This window comes from Homo sapiens, chromosome 7, assembly GCF_000001405.40.
Source record: "Homo sapiens chromosome 7, GRCh38.p14 Primary Assembly".
Lineage (NCBI taxonomy): Eukaryota > Metazoa > Chordata > Mammalia > Primates > Hominidae > Homo > Homo sapiens.
The window spans coordinates 154,659,047-154,680,501 of NC_000007.14; the positions used below are offsets into that span (position 1 = coordinate 154,659,047).

At 43.7% G+C, this 21,455-nt stretch overlaps 1 protein-coding gene across 13 annotated transcripts in view, besides 2 other annotated features; it reads left to right on the forward strand.

Moving 5' to 3' along the window:
• The window catches only part of DPP6 (dipeptidyl peptidase like 6), a 1,146,153-nt gene that overhangs the window by 910,914 nt on the left and 213,784 nt on the right, over positions 1-21,455 (forward strand). For 12 of the 13 annotated variants that reach the window (NR_157195.2, NR_157196.2, XM_047419951.1 and 9 more), the window contains one exon: positions 10,314-10,395. The exons of the other annotated variant lie outside the window; for it this stretch is intronic. Coding sequence is in view for 10 of the 12 variants with exons in the window: in XM_047419951.1 (XP_047275907.1) it covers positions 10,314-10,395 (82 nt within the window). In the remaining 2 variants the exon portion in view is untranslated. The remainder of the gene's footprint in view (positions 1-10,313; positions 10,396-21,455) is intronic. 13 annotated transcript variants of the gene reach the window in all.
• Positions 1,103-2,302: an enhancer, noted in NCBI's record as "BRD4-independent group 4 enhancer chr7:154451859-154453058 (GRCh37/hg19 assembly coordinates)". NCBI's record gives its function as "activates an origin of replication core promoter dependent on BRD2, P300/CBP, MED14 and CDK7 cofactors, and independent of BRD4, by STARR-seq in HCT116 cells {active_cell/tissue: HCT116}" and the evidence as "EXISTENCE:reporter gene assay evidence [ECO:0000049][PMID:35650434]".
• Positions 4,301-5,500: an enhancer, noted in NCBI's record as "BRD4-independent group 4 enhancer chr7:154455057-154456256 (GRCh37/hg19 assembly coordinates)". NCBI's record gives its function as "activates an origin of replication core promoter dependent on BRD2, P300/CBP, MED14 and CDK7 cofactors, and independent of BRD4, by STARR-seq in HCT116 cells {active_cell/tissue: HCT116}" and the evidence as "EXISTENCE:reporter gene assay evidence [ECO:0000049][PMID:35650434]".

Genomic DNA, 21,455 nt, shown 5'->3' on the forward strand with positions numbered 1-21,455 from the left:
CAGTGGAGAAGAAGTTGGAAAAGTCACTCTCAAATCCTCTTTTAACTTGAAAGGAAAAGAATCTGATACCCTGCAAGAAATCAAATTCCAATGCAAAAATATAGGTTCCTTTCATAGGAACAGATGTGGAGAATATGATTGAGGATTGAGACCCTAAACCCAGTTTCCCACCTGACACAGGGATTGAGCCCATTTGTTTTTGCTACAGAGTTCCATAGAGTAAACTTGTCCCAATATCTGACATATTACTGGGCCTTTAAAAGAAATTACATATAGATAGTTGTTGTAATAACATTTTATCAATATTCAACCATTGATCCTTCCTAATTAAGTGAAGGGTTAAGGGAACACACATATACATCTACACATTCACATATATACGTTGTGTGTATTATATTGCATGGTCAAATTATTTACCAGTTTATCAATGAATAAACCAGCATTTATGGAATATCTGCTAGGAAGCTCTGTGCTATCTATTTTCACATACAATAGATTATTGCGTCCAACCCTACGAGGCAAACATGATTATTTTCATTTTATACACAGGAAACAAACTTGGATCCAGTTACTCTATTGCCTCAAGCCCTTTGCTTCTAGTGGCAGAGTTCAGAATTAAATTTACACCTTCTTGGAATTATCTCCACCACTTCACAACTTCCTCCCCACGAGGAACATCCTGGTGTTTTTGAAGACAGATTGCCACGACTCACTTCTGGCATCTTGGAGTCACTTGTTTAACTTATAGAGACTGAGAAAGATTGAGAGGTTGAGAGAGTCACTAGCTAGCAAAAAGAAAACAATTACCTCTTTGGACTATGGTAGAGTTTATAAATTAATAGCCATTGTTTCTCTTGATTTTCATGACCATTCTGTAGGACGAGGGTAGCTATTGTCCCCATAGGAGAAAATAAGACGCAGAGAGTTGCTGAAGGCCGTGTGATCCACACGTCATAAGGTTGGGACTAGGATGCAAACTTTTGATTCCTGGTGTGGATCTATGGAAACTCCTGTAACGTGTTGGTGGTGAGGGAAGGGAAATGCATCTTAGCTTATGGAAGAAGTAAAGGACTCCTTGAGCACAGGTGAGCCAGGTAATAAAAGTGGAATTAGTGAATCACCATCGCATATTGGCCCTAGTGTTCATGCAGTGATGGTGAATCACCATGGCATATTGGCCGTAGTGTTCATATAGTCATGGTGAATCACGATGGCGTATTGGCCGTAGTGTTCACGCAGTCATGGTGAATCACCATGGCGTATTGGCCGTAGTGTTCACGCAGTCATGGTGAATCACCATGGCGTATTGGCCGTAGTGTTCATATAGTCATGGTGAATCACCATGGCGTATTGGCCGTAGTGTTCATATAGTCATGGTGAATCACCATGGCGTATTGGCCCTAGTGTTCATGCAGTCATGATGAATCACCATGGCATATTGGCCGTAGTGTTCATATAGTCATGGTGAATCACCATGGCATATTGGCGCTAGTGTTCATATAGTCATGGTGAATCACCATGGCGTATCGGCCGTAGTGTTCATATAGTCATGGTGAATCACCATGGCATATTGGCCGTAGTGTTCATATACTCATGGTGAATCACCATGGCGTATTGGCCGTAGTATTCATATAGTCATGGTGAATCACCATGGCATATTGGCGCTAGTATTCATATAGTCATGGTGAATCACCATGGCGTATTGGCCGTAGTGTTCCTATAGTCATGGTGAATCACCATGGCGTATTGGCGCTAGTATTCATATAGTCATGGTGAATCACCATGGCGTATTGGCCGTAGTGTTCATATAGTCATGGTGAATCACCATGGCGTATTGGCGCTAGTATTCATATAGTCATGGTGAATCACCATGGCGTATTGGCCGTAGTATTCATATAGTCATGGTGAATCACCATGGCATATTGGCGCTAGTATTCATATAGTCATGGTGAATCACCATGGCATATTGGCGCTAGTATTCATATAGTCATGGTGAATCACCATGGCGTATTGGCCGTAGTGTTCATATAGTCATGGTGAATCACCATGGCGTATTGGCGCTAGTATTCATATAGTCATGGTGAATCACCATGGCGTATTGGCCGTAGTGTTCATATAGTCATGGTGAATCACCATGGCGTATTGGCGCTAGTATTCATATAGTCATGGTGAATCACCATGGCGTATTGGCCGTAGTGTTCATATAGTCATGGTGAATCACCATGGCGTATTGGCGCTAGTATTCATATAGTCATGGTGAATCACCATGGCGTATTGGCCGTAGTGTTCATATAGTCATGGTGAATCACCATGGCGTATTGGCGCTAGTATTCATATAGTCATGGTGAATCACCATGGCGTATTGGCCGTAGTGTTCATATAGTCATGGTGAATCACCATGGCGTATTGGCGCTAGTATTCATATAGTCATGGTGAATCACCATGGCGTATTGGCCGTAGTGTTCATATAGTCATGGTGAATCACCATGGCGTATTGGCGCTAGTATTCATATAGTCATGGTGAATCACCATGGCGTATTGGCCGTAGTGTTCATATAGTCATGGTGAATCACCATGGCGTATTGGCCGTAGTATTCATATAGTCATGGTGAATCACCATGGCATATTGGCGCTAGTATTCATATAGTCATGGTGAATCACCATGGCATATTGGCCGTAGTGTTCATATAGTCATGGTGAATCACCATGGCGTGTTGGCCCTAGTGTTCACGCAGTCATGGTGAATCACCATGGCGTGTTGGCCCTAGTGTTCACGCAGTCATGGTGAATCACCATGGCATATTGGCCATAGTGTTCATATAGTCATGGTGAATCACCATGGCATATTGGCCGTAGTGTTCACGCAGTCATGGTGAATCACCATGGCGTATTGGCGGTAGTGTTCATATAGTCATGGTGAATCAGCATGGTGTATTGGCGCTAGTGTTCATATAGTCATGGTGAATCACCATGGCATATTGGCCATAGTGTTCATATAGTCATGGTGAATCACCATGGCGTATTGGCCATAGTGTTCATAGAGTCATGGTGAATCACCATGGCATATTGGCGCTAGTATTCATATAGTCATGGTGAATCACCATGGCATATTGGCCGTAGTGTTCATATAGTCATGGTGAATCACTGTGGCATATTGGCCGTAGCGTTCACGCAGTCATGGTGAATCACCATGGCGTATTAGCCATAGTGTTCATATAGTCATGGTGAATCAGCATGGCATATTGGCGCTAGTGTTCATATAGTCATGGTGAATCACCATGGCATATTGGCCCTAGTGTTCACGCAGTCATGGTGAATCACCATGGCGTATTGGCCCTAGTGTTCATATAGTCATGTGAATCACCATGGCGTATCGGCTGTAGTGTTCATATAGTCATGGTGAATCACCATGGCGTATCAGCCGTAGTGTTCATATAGTCATGGTGAATCACCATGGCGTATCGGCCGTAGTGTTCATATAGTCATGGTGAATCACCATGGCGTATCAGCCGTAGTGTTCATATAGTCATGGTGAATCACCATGGCGTATCGGCCGTAGTGTTCATATAGTCATGGTGAATCACCATGGCGTATCGGCCATAGTGTTCATATAGTCATGGTGAATCACCATGGCGTATTGGGCGTAGTGTTCATATAGTCATGGTGAATCACCATGGCATATTGGCCGTAGTGTTCATATAGTCATGGTGAATCACCATGGCGTATTGGCCATAGTGTTCATGTAGTCAAGATGAATCACCATGGTGTATTGGCGCTAGTATTCATATAATCATGATGAATCACCATAGCGTATTGGCCATAGTGTTCATATAGTCATGGTGAATCACCATGGCATATTCGCCGTAGTGTTCATATAGTCATGGTGAATCACCATGGCGTATCGGCCGTAGTGTTCATATAGTCATGGTGAATCACCATGGTGTGTTGGCCCTAGTGTTCACGCAGTCATGGTGAATCACCATGGCGTGTTGGCCCTAGTGTTCACGCAGTCATGGTGAATCACCATGGTATATTGGCCATAGCGTTCATATAGTCATGGTGAATCACCATGGCATATTGGCCGTAGTGTTCACGCAGTCATGGTGAATCACCATGGCGTATTGGCGGTAGTGTTCATATAGTCATGGTGAATCAGCATGGTGTATTGGCGCTTGTGTTCATATAGTCATGGTGAATCACCATGGCGTATTGGCCGTAGTGTTCATATAGTCATGGTGAATCACCATGGCGTATTGGCCATAGTGTTCATAGAGTCATGGTGAATCACCATGGCGTATTGGCCATAGTGTTCATGTAGTCAAGATGAATCACCATGGCGTATTGGCGCTAGTATTCATATAGTCATGATGAATCACCATAGCGTATTGGCCATAGTGTTCATATAGTCATGGTGAATCACCATGGCATATTCTCCGTAGTGTTCATATAGTCATGGTGAATCACCATGGCGTATCGGCCGTAGTGTTCATATAGTCATGGTGAATCACCATGGTGTGTTGGCCCTAGTGTTCACGCAGTCATGGTGAATCACCATGGCGTGTTGGCCCTAGTGTTCACGCAGTCATGGTGAATCACCATGGCATATTGGCCATAGCGTTCATATAGTCATGGTGAATCACCATGGCATATCGGCCGTAGTGTTCATATAGTCATGGTGAATCACCATGGCGTATCGGCCGTAGTGTTCATATAGTCATGGTGAATCACCATGGCGTATCGGCCATAGTGTTCATATAGTCATGGTGAATCACCATGGCGTATTGGGCGTAGTATTCATATAGTCATGGTGAATCACCATGGCGTATTGGCCGTAGTGTTCATATAGTCATGGTGAATCACCATGGCGTATTGGCCATAGTGTTCATGTAGTCAAGATGAATCACCATGGCGTATTGGCGCTAGTATTCATATAGTCATGATGAATCACCATAGCGTATTGGCCATAGTGTTCATATAGTCATGGTGAATCACCATGGCATATCGGCCGTAGTGTTCATATAGTCATGGTGAATCACCATGGCGTATCGGCCGTAGTGTTCATATAGTCATGGTGAATCACCATGGCGTATTGGCCGTAGTGTTCATATAGTCATGGTGAATCACTATGGCATATTGGCGCTAGTGTTCATAAAGTCATTGTGAATCACCATGGCTTGTTGGCCCTAGTGTTCACGCGATCATGGTGAATCACCATGGCGTATTGGCCCTAGTGTTCATGCAGTCTTGCAAGGCACTGCATATTATTTCCAGTTAGCATTTATGGGAATTTACATTTGTCGTATCAAAGAAAAGTTAATCCCCTGCTGTTTCTGAATATCTTAGATACCTACTGAAAATCATAATCTAACAAACTGAATTTCAATATTAAGTAAGGCAATGGAGTTTAAGTCTTTCTGATGTCCCACTCTGCCCTCTGTGCTTAGAAAATTCCAAATAAACACAGGTCAAGTGAATTTGTTAGGCTTGTCTCTAAACTTTCAAAAGGATCTTTGCTGAGAGCCACCTCTCGAACCTACCTTTATTTACTAATTTATTTGTTTGTTCATAGGCACATAATGAGGGCCTGTGCTGTGCTCCATATGGAATTCTTTTTTTTTTTTTTTCAGTTTTTAAAATCAAGATCACAGTATGTTGGGAGGGCAATTATCTGACTTTTCATTCCTATTTAGGATAATTTTTAAAGCCAATGAGATATAAGCTATGAAATTCTTTTTAAAAACTTTTTATTTTGAATAATTGTAGACACAGAAAAGTTGCAAAAGTAGTGCAAAAAAATCTCCCATATTTCTCATGTCACCACTCCTAGTGATAGCATATTGTATAACTTTGGTATAATGATCAAGAATAGGAAATTAACATGGGTGCCATATTGTTAACTCATCTACAGGCCTCATTTGAATTCTACCAATTTTTCTACCAATTTTCTACCTGTGTCCCAGGACCCCATGCTGCCTTTAGATGTTCTTTCTTCTTAGCACCCTCCAGTCTATAACATTTCCTCCATTTCTCCTTGTCTTTCATGACCTTGCACTTTTGAGGAGGACTGGTCAGTTATGTTGTAGTGTCCCTCAATTTGGGTTTTTCCCAGTGTTTTCTCATGATTGGAGTAAGGTTCTGCATTTTGGGTAAAAAATATCACATAAATGATTATTTGTCCTTCCCATTGCATTATATCCAATGGGCTCCAGTGATGTTGGCCTTGGTCATTTGCTTAAGTGGCTGTCTGCCAGGTTTCCACTGTAAATTTGATGATTTGATTTATTTAATTATTTATATCAGTAAAGACTCATGGGTATTTATTTTATTCTATGGGTTAATCCAGTACTAACATTAATTTTTGTTGTTGTTGATCAAACTGTTCTAGTATGAGTCATTAGAAACTCCTTTAGGTTAGCTTTCATGTTCTCTCAATAAACCCCTATTTTTTTAGTATTCCATTGCTTTCTGGTTTCCTAAAATATTCCTGACTCATTCTGTATTTTCCCTGCCCCAGCCCAGATACAATTGCTCCTCCCAGAAGCCCTATTTTCTTTTACTGGGTGATGGTATTTAGACACCAAGATCTGGGTGCTAACTGTGCTCATTGCTACTGGGGTGTCATTGTTTCTAGGCCTTCTCAGTGGACAGACGCAGGACATATTTGTATGTATACTAACCCATGGACACACACATATCTATATTTTGGATCTATCTGTGTACATAGAGATTAAAAACCATGAGTTTATACAGATACCTCTGATTTCAAACTTCACAGTTTATTTTAGTGTTCCCCTTTTCCTTATAACGTTTTTTTTCAACAGTGAAAAACCTGGCTTTCATTATCTCCAATATATTTACATATTTGTCCCATTCTAGCATGCACACAGTCTCAAAATTGATCCTCCAAACCCCTGGGAGAAACAAATTTACTCACGGAACTACAGAGAATCTTCCTTCTCTCAGCAGTCCCATCTTTCCACCCTATTTCCACCTATACCCTATAGGTAATCAATCTGGTTCCTGGTTTCTGCTTCCTACATTTCCTTTTTCACAAAAGACTCGATTCATATATATTCTCATATCCCTTTCTTCTATGATATATAATTATATCATACTATATACATACATATATGTGTGTATATATATATATATATACACATATACATACATACATACATACATACATACTATAACACATACTCTTGGGCTTTGTTAACTCTGACATGGAAATCACTCCATATCTGTTTATAGAGTTATTCATTCTCTCTTACACCTGCACCCTACTTCATTGTATTGGGGGGGTATAGTTTTGGGGGGTTTTATAAATTGACAAATGATAATTATATATATTTACAGGGTACAATATGATATTTTGTTATATGTATACATTATGAAATTATTAAATCAAGCTAATTAACATCTCTATCACCTCATATACTTATCTTTTTTCATTGTGGTATAATAGTTAACATCTATTCTCTTATCTATTTTGAAACATGCATTACATTCTTATTAACTATAATCACCATACTCTGCAACAGATCTCAAAAACTTATTCCTCCTGTCTAACTGAAACTTTGTATCTTTTTATCAGCACCCCCCCAATCCCTCCCACTCCCAGCCTCTGGTAACCACTACTACTCTACTCACTGCTCAATACTATTCAGCCTTAAAAAAGAAGGATGTACCGTCATTTATTCAACCACATATTGTTTCCAATATTTGCAACTACAAATAAAACTGCAATAAATACAAACTTGTGCACATGTATTTGTGCATTGTTTGAGGTGAATTCTCTAGGAGTCTAGAAGTGGAAGTGTTGGGCTGAAAGTTAAGTGTGTACTTTATTAGGTATTGTCAGATGTCTCTCTGAAATGATTGCACCAGCTTGCTTCCCGACAAGCAAGTCTGAGAGTGCCTGTTTCCCTACAGTCTCCCCAGCACCATGTGTCATACTTTTTTCTTCTTTTTCCAAGTCTCATAGGTGAGAAATGATATCTCAATTAATTTTAATTCCTACTTCCTTAATTTCATATGTATTTGAGTACCTTTCATATGTTTGATTGAGGGCCATTTTTATGTCTTTTTGTGAATTGTCTGTTCATGTCTTTTTCTCATATTTTTATCTTTTTTTTTTATAACCACATTTTTCAAAGTATTTTGTATGTTAGGGATATTAGCCATGTGTTGTAAATACTTTTCTCCTGGTTTGTAAGATGTCTTTTGTTTATGATGCATCTGTCATGCAAAAGTTTTATGTTTTTATGTAGTCCAACTTATTAATCTTAATTTCTGGCTCCTGAATTTTGAGTCATCAAAGCTTTTCTCTACACCAGGGTTCAAGAGGAATTAACCTATGCTTATGAGAATACTTTGAAACATCATAACATACAAATGTTGGCTGGGCACAGTGGCTCACGCCTGTAATTCCAGCACTTTGGGAGGCCGAGGCAGACGGATTCCCTGAGGTCAGGAGTTCCAGCCTGGCTAACATGGTGAAACTCTGTCTCTACTAAAAATACAAAAATTCGCCAGGCGTCGTGGCAGGTGCCTATAATCCCAGCTACTTGGGAGGCTGAGGCAGGAGAATCACTTGAACCTAGGAAGCAGAGGTTGCAGTGAGCTGAGGTCTGCCACTGCACTCCAGCCTGAGCGATAGAGCAAGACTCCTTCTCAAAACAAAACAAAACAAAACCACGCAATGTTAAAAACTCATCTATTAACAGAACCTGCAATATTAGGACTCGCTTGCATCTTCCGATCACTGGGCAGCTGCCTTCCCAGCTGGTTTCTAAGCGGCAATGTCTTCTCTGAATTGGCATCGTCACTCTACCCTCAGGCTTCCTGGCTTCTCCAAACCCAGACACTTCATCTAAAACTACCTGGGGCATTCTAGACTCTCTAGCCTCCCCCATCTGTCTTTACTCTAAATGTAGTCCTTGTTTTTCCTGGTAGTTTTATTCAGCCGTTGCTTTTGTATTTTCTATTGATTCCAGTCCACCATGTCCTTAGCCCCTTCACCTTCCTTCCCTTCCTGCCTCATCTCCTTTGTTCATGCAACCCCTGAAGTGCAGCATCCTCCCTTTCCAAAGGCCATTCAACCATTTCTTTCTACAGATGAGTGGGTGCATTCCCAGCTATGTGTATATTTTATATATATATATATATATATAATATACACATTTTTTTTTCAAGACAGAGTTTCGCTCTGTCACCCAGGCTACAGTGTAGTGGCATGATCTCCGCTCACTGCAAGCTCTGCCTCCCGGGTTCACGCCATTCTCCTGCCTCAGCCTCCCAAGTAGCTGGGACTACAGGCACCCGCCACCGCGCCCGACTAATTTTTTATATTTTTAGTAGGGATGGGGTTTCACCGTGTTAGCCAGGATGGTCTCGATCTCCTGACCTCGTGATCGACCGCCTCAGCCTCCCAAAGTGCTGGGATTACAAGCGTGAGCCACCGCGCTCAGCCCCACATAAGAAATTATAGCTAAGTGATAGGGCGCTTACCTGACAGAGCCCAGCAGACTCAGCAGAACACAGATATCATTCTTCACGTGGAGGGGTGTCATCCAAAAGAAACATGAAAATGAATCTTTTCTACACGTTGGAGACAGCAGTAGCTACAAAATATACTGAAATATTTAATACTTATAAAATGTTAGCACTTTTCATTTTTCCCACCATGACCTTTACTCACTATAACCTTTAAGTACTTAGAGAGGTTTTTGTTGTGGTGGTATTGGTATTTAATCAGTACATTAAGGATAAAAAATATAAGGAGGTTTGAAAGGAAATACATCTTTCAATTTATCCCCTTCCTCCCTCTCTCTCTCGACTTGTATCTGTCAACACAAACCAACACAAAACCTGATGCCACCAGGTTTGTAAGGTCATAATGACCTGCGTTATACCTAGAAAAAATTATCTTCTAGGAGAACCAAAGATGGAGATACAAATTGTGGAGGTAGATCACTGCATGGTTCTGCATTTTAATTTTTAACTTTGACTGTTCTGGAGATTTAAGAAGTTGATCCAAAGACCTCACTGCATGTCCTCTCTTAATGAGTATTTACTATTTGGGTTAAGCAATGATGGACCTATTTCAGCTTCATATAAATTATATACATCTGAAGAAACCTAATAGAGACTAAATGAGACATATTACTTAGTAACACAAGAGACAAGCTCTTGAAATGGATACCATGGAAGGAGAAAGGAGTTAAGTTATAGGTAGGGGATAAAATTGCAGCAGCTTAAATTCTTGGTTCCCAACATTTTGCTTTGTTTTTGTTTGTTTGTTCAATTTTCAGGGATCCTCAAAGTCTGGACCCACCAGAAGTCAGCAATGCAAAACTTCAGTATGCAGGATGGGGCCCTAAAGGCCAACAGCTGGTAAGCCAATCAAGTTCAGTAACTATACTTGGGTTTTGAGGAAGTTTCTGTTTTCTAAGCTGAATGGATCTCACTGTACTCAGCCTGTACATGGTGTTGTGTGTGTGTGTGTGTGTGTGTGTGTGTAAATTAAAATCTGGAGAGGTACACCAGGGTGTCTGAATATGTAAAAGGGTCATTTCTTTTTAGATAGCAAATTCTCCTAAAATTGGAACAGCATGTGCTTGGTTCCTACATCTGACATGGTTAAAGTGGTGCCTAACTGTAGCTGTGTCTATGGACTCCAGATGAATCATGAGCTCAAAGAGATCAACTTCATTAAAAGAACTGCAGATGAGAATGATCCGAATGATTTTGTCATCTAAAGATGCTCTGGGAACTCAGACTTCTTCCTGTGGAGGGTTTTTTTTTGTTTTTTGTTTGTTTGTTTCTTTTGAGATGGAGTTTTGCTCTCGTTGCCCAGGCTGGGGTGCAGTGGCACGATCTCAGCTCACTGCAACCTCCACCTCCTGTGTTCAAGCGATTCTCCTGCCTCAGCCTCCCCAGTAGCTGGGATCACAGGCGTACTCCACCACACCCGACTAATTTTTGTATATTTAGTAGAGACAGGGTTTCACTATGTTGGCCAGGCTGGTCTCAAACTCCTGACCTCAGGCAATCCACCCGCCTCAGCCTCCCAAAGTGCTGGCATTACAGGCGTGAGCTACCGTGCCCAGCCTCTGCGGAGGGTTTTTTAAGCAAGTAGATTTGCTGGCCCTGATGGAGCCAGGCCAGTCCCGTCAACATGCAAAACCCCCCGTGGTCATTGCAGCCTTCTCGGTTTCTATCAGCTATCTTCATGGATTCCTTCTCAAATTGGCAAAACTGCTGGGTTTCTGTGAATGGGAAGGACAGTGCAGAGAAAAAGGCCCTGAACACTATTTCTAAGATGAGGGCTCCCACCCTGGTTCTCACTGCCGAGCTGGCCTTGGACAGCACCTCCCGCTGTCAGGCTGTAGGCAGCAGCCCAGCCATGTAGTGAAGAATTTGGATAATACGGTCCTTCAGGTTTGTTCCAACTCTAGCCTTGCGTTTGACTAAAACTTGGTTATATTTGTCCATTCTGGGTAACATTTTTTTAAGACATTGTATTGCCACGTGCAGAAAGTCCCTCAGGTTTGAAGGTCAGATGACATGGTTGCTGTTTTCAAGTCACCATTTTCTTCTGCCTCTTTAAGCTGATTACCTAAGCCTGCATTTGTAAAGCTCCTTTTTCCTAAAATAGCACAAAAAATGATCGTATCTAAAAGCTCCCACAGAATTGTATCGGATAGGCTGTCATCTATCTTACAAATGAAAATAGTCTTATTTCTCCCCATAGTACAATCACATTTTCTTGGTTATATATTAATTCCACTGCCTTGAATTGGTTTGAAAAAGCAAGAAGATCGAGGCGGTGAAACTATTAATATTTTAGCTATTATTAACATGTCTCTAATGCTAAAACTGATAACAGAGGTTTTGAAAAGCATATGTAACTGATCAAAATCACAGGGTGACAGGAGGAAGTGAGGCAGCTGAGAGCTGACCTTGACCGAGGAACACCAATCCATCAGTTCAGTCACAACAAAGAGACAAAATTTGTCTTTTCTCAAAGGCATTAACTCTTACACAGGGAAAAAAATGCAATTTGATAAGAGATTGTAGAAGATCTAAGTTTTCAGGACTGATGCGCAACTGAATCTCTAATAGTTGACTTTAAAACCCTCTGAAAGTCTGTGATTGAAGAGATTTTCAATATCCATCAAATCATCTGTGAAAGTGGCCATTACACCTCCATAGAGAGCTCTCCCTGCCTGCTGCGGATCCATTACAAGCCAGTACCCACAGCTCTGCACCTGGCCTCATCACCCCACTACAGGGAGAAGGATGGGAATGTGTAACCTTACTGAGTGATCATTGTCCAGCCTTTTTATAGTAGTCAGGAGAAGACCATCATAATGTGACCACATGTCAAGGTCTCTTTCCACCATACCTGCGGCCTCGCTTCTTATCACCCAGCGGCTGTAACTCAGTGTGTGGACTCCTGCCTCATTGTCTGCACATGCAAATAAACCGGGTCCCGTAGTAGAGTTGGTACTTGTCCTGCCTCTGGGAACAGCTTGTAACATAAAGGAAATTTAACCCACAACTGTAAAAGGAGTTGCTGTGCATGCATATGTGTGTGTGTGTGCGTGTGCATGCACACACTTTAGAATTAAGTCTATAATTGTCCTCTTGAACAACTGACCTTCACTCATGTCATGCTCCGTTGGAGATGAGGAGGGGATAAGTGATTATAGAAGTTATCTTGTTTAACCTCTTACAGAATAAGTAGCAACAAAACAAAGTAAATGACAACTTCTCAGAGAAGGCTTCCTGACACCTCCCCCAACACACACATGCACACACACACACACACACACACAATGGTAGCTAGCCATCCTGGGGCTTCAGGTTTCACCGTGCAATCTCCCAGCACACATGATCTCTTGTTGCCTGTAGACATGTCTCTCTCCTTGGTTAGGTGGTGATATGGTGTGGCTCTGTGTCCCCACACAAATCTCACCTTTGAATTATTATAATCCCCATGTGTCAATGGTGGGACCAGATGGAGATAATTGAATCATGGGGGCAGTTTCCCCCATGCTCTTCTAGTGATAGTGAGTTCTCACGAGATCTGATGGTTTCCCCCTTTGCTCGACACTCACTCTGTCTTCTGCTGCCCTGTGAAGAGGTGCCTTCTGCCGTGATTGTAAGTCTCCTGAGGCCTCCCCAGCAATGCAGAACTGTGAGTCAATTAAACCTCTTTCTTGTATAAATGACTCAGTCTCAAATATTTCTTCATAGCAGCATGAGAACAAACTAATACAGGTACCCTGAGTCCACACAGTGAGACTGTTTCATCTTCGTATTCTAACACACCCAGCACAGTGTCTGGTGCCCAGTACACATTTGTTGAGGTAAAAGATGAAAGCACAAACAGATTGATTAATTCATTAGTTAATACATTTTTGTGGTTTCAAACCACTTCAGCATGAAGAATTGGATGGTGGCAAATAGCCAGCATCTATGAATATGTTCTAGGACAGTACTAGAGGTGACAGAAATTTGACTTCCTTTCTGCTTCAAAGAAATGAATGTTCAGGTAAGTAATAACTGTTAATACTTGAGTTTAGTACCAAAGGTGCTATATACTTGTGGAACTTTTGAGTTTTTAAATCCATTTGACCTTTAAGAGCGTTATGATACATGCATGTACTGAGCTTAAGACGCAATATAGCTCATTGTTGAGTGAGTACCCTATGTGCTGGAGCAGGGGCCGCCTTCTTCTGCAGAAGGTCAGATAGCACATGTTTCAGTCTTTGCAAACAGATAGTTTCTAGCACAATGACTCATCTCCCTTACTGCAGCATGGAAGCAGCTGCAGACAGTATAGACAAGATGGGCATGGCTGTGTTCCAATAAAGCTATACTTCCCAACACAGGTGGCTTGGCCTATGGGTTATAGTTTGCTGACCCCTGTTTTAGGGGATCATATGCTGTCTTGGTTGTTCTCATGGGGAAAGCCTGACCCCAGAGCCACCACCTCATCACAGGTACTCCCCACACCTGCTCCGTCTGCACAGAAAATTCACAACTCAAGAGCAGGCCTTGCAAGCCCTAACCTATTAAGTGATGCCAAGCAACACACCCCTCATTGCCATTTTATTTTAAAAAGTAAATATTGCTCCCTAAAGTCAACCTACTCTAATTATAATGAGTCAGATTGAAGTGAGTAATTCTCCTTTGGGAGCAGAGAACACAGCTGCAGTTGAGGTTTGCAAAGAGCTTTGGGAACATGTAGCCTCCTGTGCTGACTGATTTCAGTGATGCCTTTGGGTCTGGAGCCCCTATATCACAGGTGATGACCCAGGGAACCAGGGATGGGTGAGGGCATCTTTTCCCAGTGCCTCGATGTGGTTGCCAATTAGCTCTTACCTTTTAGAGTAAGTGTTGTGAGACCCATAGAACATTTCTCCGGTAGTAATGACTGCAGGGGGAGTGGCCTGTGTGTTGTTAGTGGAGTGGGTGGGAGGAGGCCCCCAGGCTGCCAGAAGCCACTTCTGTGATGATGCTGGTCTGGGGCTGGAGTTTATGACAAATGACAAGATTGCTTCCAAACGTTTGCTGAGGACCCAGGATGTGATCTAGGAAATAGACTTGGCCAGATTAAATAGGATTAAATGAGAAATCCTAGGTAAAATGTTAACACAGTGTCTCTCCTTTGCTTCCTCTTCCTCCAAACTGGAGTGGTCAGTCGGGAAACATAAACGTTCAAAACATATGCTGTTTCAACGTATTTCTCTGTACCACTTCTTTCCTCATTGTGTCCTCTTCAGATGAATCTGCCTGAACTGAGATTTCCTCCATGTTTCTTTCTTTTTTTTTTTTTTAACTGGAATCTCCCTCTGTCACCCAGGCCGGAGTGAATGTTGCGATCTCTGCTCACTCCAACCTCCACCTCCTGGGTTCAAGCAATTTTCCTGCCTCAGCCTCCCAAGTAGCTGGGACTACAGGTGTGTGCCACCATACGTGGCTAATTTTTGTGTTTTTAGCAGAGATGGGGTTTCACCGTTTTGGCCAAGCTGGTCTTGAACCCCTGACCTCAAGTGATCCACCCACCTCGGCCTCCCAAAGTGCTGGGATTATAAGCATGAGCCACTCTGCCCGGCCATCCATGTTTCTTTTCTTTGATCTTTTCATGAAGTCCTGCCCCCGACCATGTGTTTGTCTGTTTATGGGAGGTTTTGTTTCTGCTGACCTAGAATGTGATTAGTTGTCTGGTTTAGGAATGTCCACATATTTCCTGATATGGTATTTCTATTAGAGACATTTCCTGGAAGCACACAGACTTTGAGGCAGCCGCGGTGGCCTTCCTTGTTCTTGGCACATGCACTTGGAGTTGAAGCTGCCTCAGGGTGCATTTGCTGGTTGATCTGCAAGGGGAGGGAGGGCATGTGAATTTGGTGCATCATCACGTTTTCCTTTGGAAACAAGTGCCATGGAAATTTTCCCAAGAAAGACTGTGCAGCATTAGGCAACATTAAGAATTCAAAGCCGGAATCTTTGCTGGTACACTCGGAAGATCAGAGACAAAGTGAATGGGTCTCTCTTTGGTTGGCTTGCTACCATGATAGTGATAAATGAAGAGCTTTGAATGGGAAATTTAATGAGTCCATTGGGAAGTCTTCAACGCAGAGAGCGTCAAAATGTGACAGATGAAGAGCAGTGGAGTAGTTAGCCGGGAAACCTGCTGGAACTGGGGAGAGAGCTGTCCCCAAGAGATAGCGTTCCCCAAAGGAGCAGGTGCAATTACAAACACCATGGAGGGAAACTAAGGAATTCTCACAGCCATGCTTCACAGCTTAGAAGGAAAGGCCAACTTCCTCATCATCTCCAGACCAAGAGAGGCTGAGGGGTGGTGAATATCAGTGAGCAACTGTCCTGTGTCAGTCAGGAGAAAAACATGTTTATCAAAATGGGAGATTTGAGTCAGACTTTAAGAAGAATTGCCTTGATTATATGGCATTTTAGATCCTGGAATAGTTTTCCACAGAAGGTCACAGAATAGTTTATCGGAGAACGTCAATAAATCCGCATTTAAATTGTGCTGTGTTTTACTGCATGTTCTCACTCATAGGTGGGAATTGAACAATGAGAACACATGGACACAGGGCAGGGAACGTCCACACCGGGGCCTGTCCGGGGGCGGGGGGCTAGGGGAGGGATAGCATTAGGAGAAATACCTAATGTAAATGACAGGTTGATGGGTGCAGCAAGCCAACATAGCACATGTATACCTATGTAACAAACCTACACGTTGTGAACATGTACCTTAGAACTTAAAGTATAATAAAGAAAAAAAGAAAAAAAATTGTGCTGTGTTTTAATGGTTAGGATGGCAGCTCCCTTGGTGAAGTCTTAGGAGCAGGTAGACTGGACTCCCAAAGATGTTCCCAGCCCTAGGGCTCTCTGGAATGGCACATGTGGCCAGCGATTGCCATGGTCACAAGCTAGCTTAGTGCACGGGACCCTGCAGGCCGGTCCTGCCGTGCATGTACTTTCCTGTCATTCTCTTATGCACTCGTTTGTTTACGGATTCAATCAACTCTTCTTGAATACTTCCTGTGTTCTGGATACTGCCTGATCCCGGATGCAGAAGAAGGACATGGTCCCTTTCCTCACTAGCTTCTGCTTCTGATGGCACATTCACCTATTGGCACATTCACTCGCTCTCCCCAACCGCGAATGCTGCCCGTTGCCCTGCTCTGGCACGGTCACTCTCATAACTGTCCCCGTCTGTTCACACTGCCCAAGCTTTCCTCTCCTGTCCACAGCAGGGGCTGTCACACTATGTATTTGATATTCTTCTCATTTTTCACCAAGATCCTTAGATCCTCAAGTCTTAACAAAGTGATGCCCCTGAAAACAAAGCCATCCAGACAGGCCTCATCGCCTAAGGGGTCATTCCGTACTTGCTTGATACAGGGCCCATGAGGCCAATCCAGCTCTGAGAAAAACTTCTCTCCAGGGGCGGGGACATGGCCATGGGGTGTGCTGTCTGGAGGTCCAGCTGTCCTTACCTCCTACACAGGTGTTCCGGGCTACAGCCTTGCAGCATGCTGTCTGGAGGTCCAGCTGTCCTAACCATGTGACCTCCTACACAGGTGTTCCGGGCTACAGCCTTGCAGCGTGCTGTCTGGAGGTCCAGCTGCCCTTCCCCATGTGACCTGCTACACAGGTGTTCCGGGCTGCGGCCATGGGGCGTGCTGTCTGGAGGTCCAGCTGCCCTTCCCCATGTGACCTGCTACACAGGTGTTCCGGGCTGCGGCCATGGGGCGTGCTGTCTGGAGGTCCAGCTGGCCTTCCCCATGTGACCTGCTACACAGGTGTTCCGGCTACAGCCTTACAGCATGCTGTCTGGAGGTCCAGCTGCCCTTCCCCATGTGACCTGCTACACAGGTGTTCCAGGCTGCGGCCATGGGGTGTGCTGTCTGGAGGTCCAGCTGCCCTTCCCCATGTGACCTGCTACACAGGCGTTCCCTGACTGACTCACACAGACACTGTACCCACACCCTGCACCGGCCCCACCTTAGTGATTGCTACACCCTCTCAAGCCTGTGGCAGTTGTGGCTCTCTAAGCCACACCTCAGTGTGAAGCGGGATTTAAGGAACCAGAGAGACCGGATGGAGTGCAGGAGGGTGTTTATTTTAAGGTGTACACAGGCCCAGTGGACATGTGTCCTAAAGGCTGAGCCCAGAACAAAGAAAACGAGTCCCTTTTAAGCATTTTGAGGCAGGAACTACGTGAAGCAGGCTTACAGAAGCGAGAACTAAAGGCTGCTGTGACACTTTTGCAACATGGCTTACATCTCTGTGAGAACTTGGTTTGCGGCTTGTGCTTATCTGTCTTGTGACCTTGCAGTTGTGGGGGGAAGAAAGAAACAGGAGTTTACAGAGCCTACAAAATATGTGGAGGATAGATATGGTTATTGTTTCTTGGGACAGACAGTTAATATACTCTTCTAACTTTTAACTTCAGCGGGGCTGCTTAAATTCTCCTCAGCCTTGGTTAATACAGAATTTCATTCTATGAGCTATTGTTATTTTTCTTACTATTATTATAATTTTTACTATTACTACTTATGCTATTATTCTGTTGTTTTCTTAATTTCCCACTTCAAGTGGACGGAGCCCATTCCAAGCAAACTATTCCAAGGATAGCTGTTTTTCTTCTTAATACGCCAACAGCGAGAGAGCGTGAGCCTTCCTTTACCTACCCATGAGCATCTGCCAGTGATCCAGCGGGCACTGCTTCCTCCCAGAACCGTGTCTTGACACTTTTTTCTATGAATCAGTGAAAGATTCAAGAAAATTGGAGTTGAGGGGTTTTTTTTGCACTCGTGCTGACTTACCTTATGGCATTGGGGTTTTTGCCTTCAATAAAAATAATTTTTTAAAGTAGCCCATTAAAATTGTAAAAATCCATGCCTTCAAAATGTCAGTAATTCAACCTAAGATATGGAGGAAGAGCTTGCGCTTGAAACTCCAAAACGCTTTGTTAGAGGGACGAAAGGGCAGTTTGATAGCAGATCGGAGGGATGGAGGGCCTTTGCTTCACCCATCGCTCACGTGTGGGCGTCTGCACGGGGAGGAGCGCGTGGGGAGAACCATCAGATTTCAGTGTGACAGGGAGGCCACGTGGGTGGCACTGCAGCAGCAGCACAGAGCCAGCGTGAGGGCAGGCTGGGTGCAGCCAGGAGCCAGCTGGGAGTGGGAACCCAGCCAGGCCTGGGATGTGGAAGCCCCCACTGAGAAACTCCCTTGTAGGGTCCCAGGCCACCTCCTCAGCCTCAGAATGGGAAGGTCCTAGGTAAGAGGTGAAGCCGGCTGGGCTTCTGGGTGGGGTGCGGACTTGGAGAACTTTTCTGTCTAGCTAAAGGATTGTAAAGGCACCAATCAGAGCTCTGTCTAGCTAAAGGTTTGTAAACGCAGGGATCAGCACTCTGTAAAAACACACCAATCAGAGCTCCTGTCTAGCTAAACGTTTGTAAACGCACTGATCAGCACTCTGTAAATACGCACCAATCAGTGCTCTGTGTCTAGCTAAAGGTTTGTAAACACACCAATCAGCACTCTGTAAAAACGGACCAATCAGCACTCTGTAAAATGGACCAATCAGCAGGATGGGGGCGGGCCAAATAAGGAAATAAAAGCTGGCCACCGCCGCCCAACAGCTGCAACCCGCAGCTCGGGTTCCCTTCCACGTGGAAGCTGTGTTCTTTCCTTCTTCACAATAAATCTTGCTGCTGCTCGCTCTCTGGGTTCGCACTACGTGTATGAGCTGTAACACTCACTGCAAAGGTCTGCAGCTTCACTTCTGAAGTCAGTGAGACCACAAACCCACAGGGAAGAACAAACAACTCTGGGCGCGCCACCTTTAAGAGCTGTGACACTCACTGCGAAGGTCTACGGCTTCACTCCTGAAGTCACCAAGACCACGAACCCACTGGAAGGAAGAAACTCCAGACACATCTGAACATCTGAAGGAAGAAATTCCGGACACAGCATCTTCAATAACCCTAACACTCACCGCGAGGGTCTGCGGCTTCATTCCTGAAGTCAGCGAGACCAAGAACCCACCAGAAGGAACCAATTCCGGAGAAACTTGTTTTAAGCGTGAGAAGGAAAAGAATATTTTATTTTGTTTGTTTTGCTCTTAAAGGGTCATTAGTAACAAAAGCTTTGGAGTCAAAAGGGCCAGATTCAGATCGTGGTTGCAGCACTTACTAGTTGCGTGACCTTGACTGAGAGACTTAATCCCTGAGCTTCCATCTCTTAGTCTGTTAACTGAAGTAACAGTGCCTACCTTGTAGGGCTCATGGTGGAGAGTAAAATAATCTACTCGAAGTACAGGCTGTGGAGCCTTGTGTAAATAACGTTCTCAATAAATGTCTTTGATTGTTGCTGCTTTTACTATTTGGGTTAATCGTCTGAGAATGAGAAGGAAAATAAGCATTTCATCAGATGGAAGTCTGGTGTGTGTCAGAAGGAGAGTTGGGCTGCCCTTGATAAAGCAGAGAAACGCAGGATAGAGACAGAAGCTAGGGTTGGTGTCCAGAGGGCTTCATGACGGGCCAGCCCCCTTGTCCATCACCATCCACAGTGTACCTGTGTGGACTCACACCTTGCTCTTCTCCCACTCTTAGGGAGGGAGGGGGAATGTTCAGAAAACAACATCAATTTCTACCTCCTGAAGTCGTCAGCCCCTTGTAACTATTCAGGAGCCTGTGGCTTTAGAAAAGGCCATTGTCAGGTGACAGCAATTCCCCTACGCTAATGCCACGCCAGAAATTATCCCTTGAATGGAGAGAGTATGTTTCTTATAAGAAGCTGGGTGTCCTGCTTCCTGTATCCAGTCCAGGAAGCCTGCATCCGGTCCGCAGTTCCCCATTACCACCTGGGCAACCACCAGGGAGCTGAGCAGAAATGGGCCCGTCGCCTCCTCCTACAAGTTACAGCCTGGCTCAGGGTTAGCGCTGCCCACCCAGTCCCATGGCTGTAGCAAAGGGGGCAGGGAGCACTTTACTGAAGTGGACAAATCCAGCGAGGGGAGGAAGATTGATCTTTCCAGCAAGAGGAGAGTCTTTAATGAAATGTCCTATATGTGGAGAAGACCAGACTAAAGTGACATCCCATTAATAACTTATAAAAGCCTCTAATCAGCTTGGGTTAATTTGGTATTCATTGTAAAAACATTCATCATGGGCACTGAGGTCTGTGACAGTAGCCAAGAAATTAATATCCCACGGATGGAAATGGCCTTCTGTACCCTCAGATAATGGATGGAGACAGTTTGGTGAGTGATTTGTTAGCACTACCAAAGGGACCCTTCAAATGTAACACAATATGTTATCACTTCCTGGCTCTGTGGGGCTAAATCACTTTAATATTCACTTGCACTCAAGTAAATAAGCTGAGTTTTTGGTAATTAATAGGAATGGATGGGGTCGTATGACAGAGATACCTGATGGTCATGGTTAAAGAGTGAGGAGAATTAGGAAATAATTATGGGGCCCTTTCCTGCCACCAAGAGGCTCTTCTCCTGGGATACAGGGATTTCAGAAAGGAAATGCGTAATCATAGGATTATGGGGGAAGTGAGAGAAGAAAAATATAAGTAGGACATCAGGAGGAGGTGGAGATTTGTTTTAACTCTGTGTAAATGGAGGAGGCATAAGAGAAAATTTATTTATAAAACAATATGAAAATATGCAGAAAGAGTCATCAAGACATTCCTATACAAGATCACAGAAATCCCTCTAAAAAGAAGCCCAAAGCTATATCAACAAACACATTCATAACACTGTTATCCATAACAGGAATTTCTAAAAGCTGGAAATGTCCTAAGTGTTGAGAGCTGAGCCATTTGCTAAATCATGGAGTATCCATAGGAAGAGGTATTATATAACCATTTAAGATTATGATTAGGAAGACTGC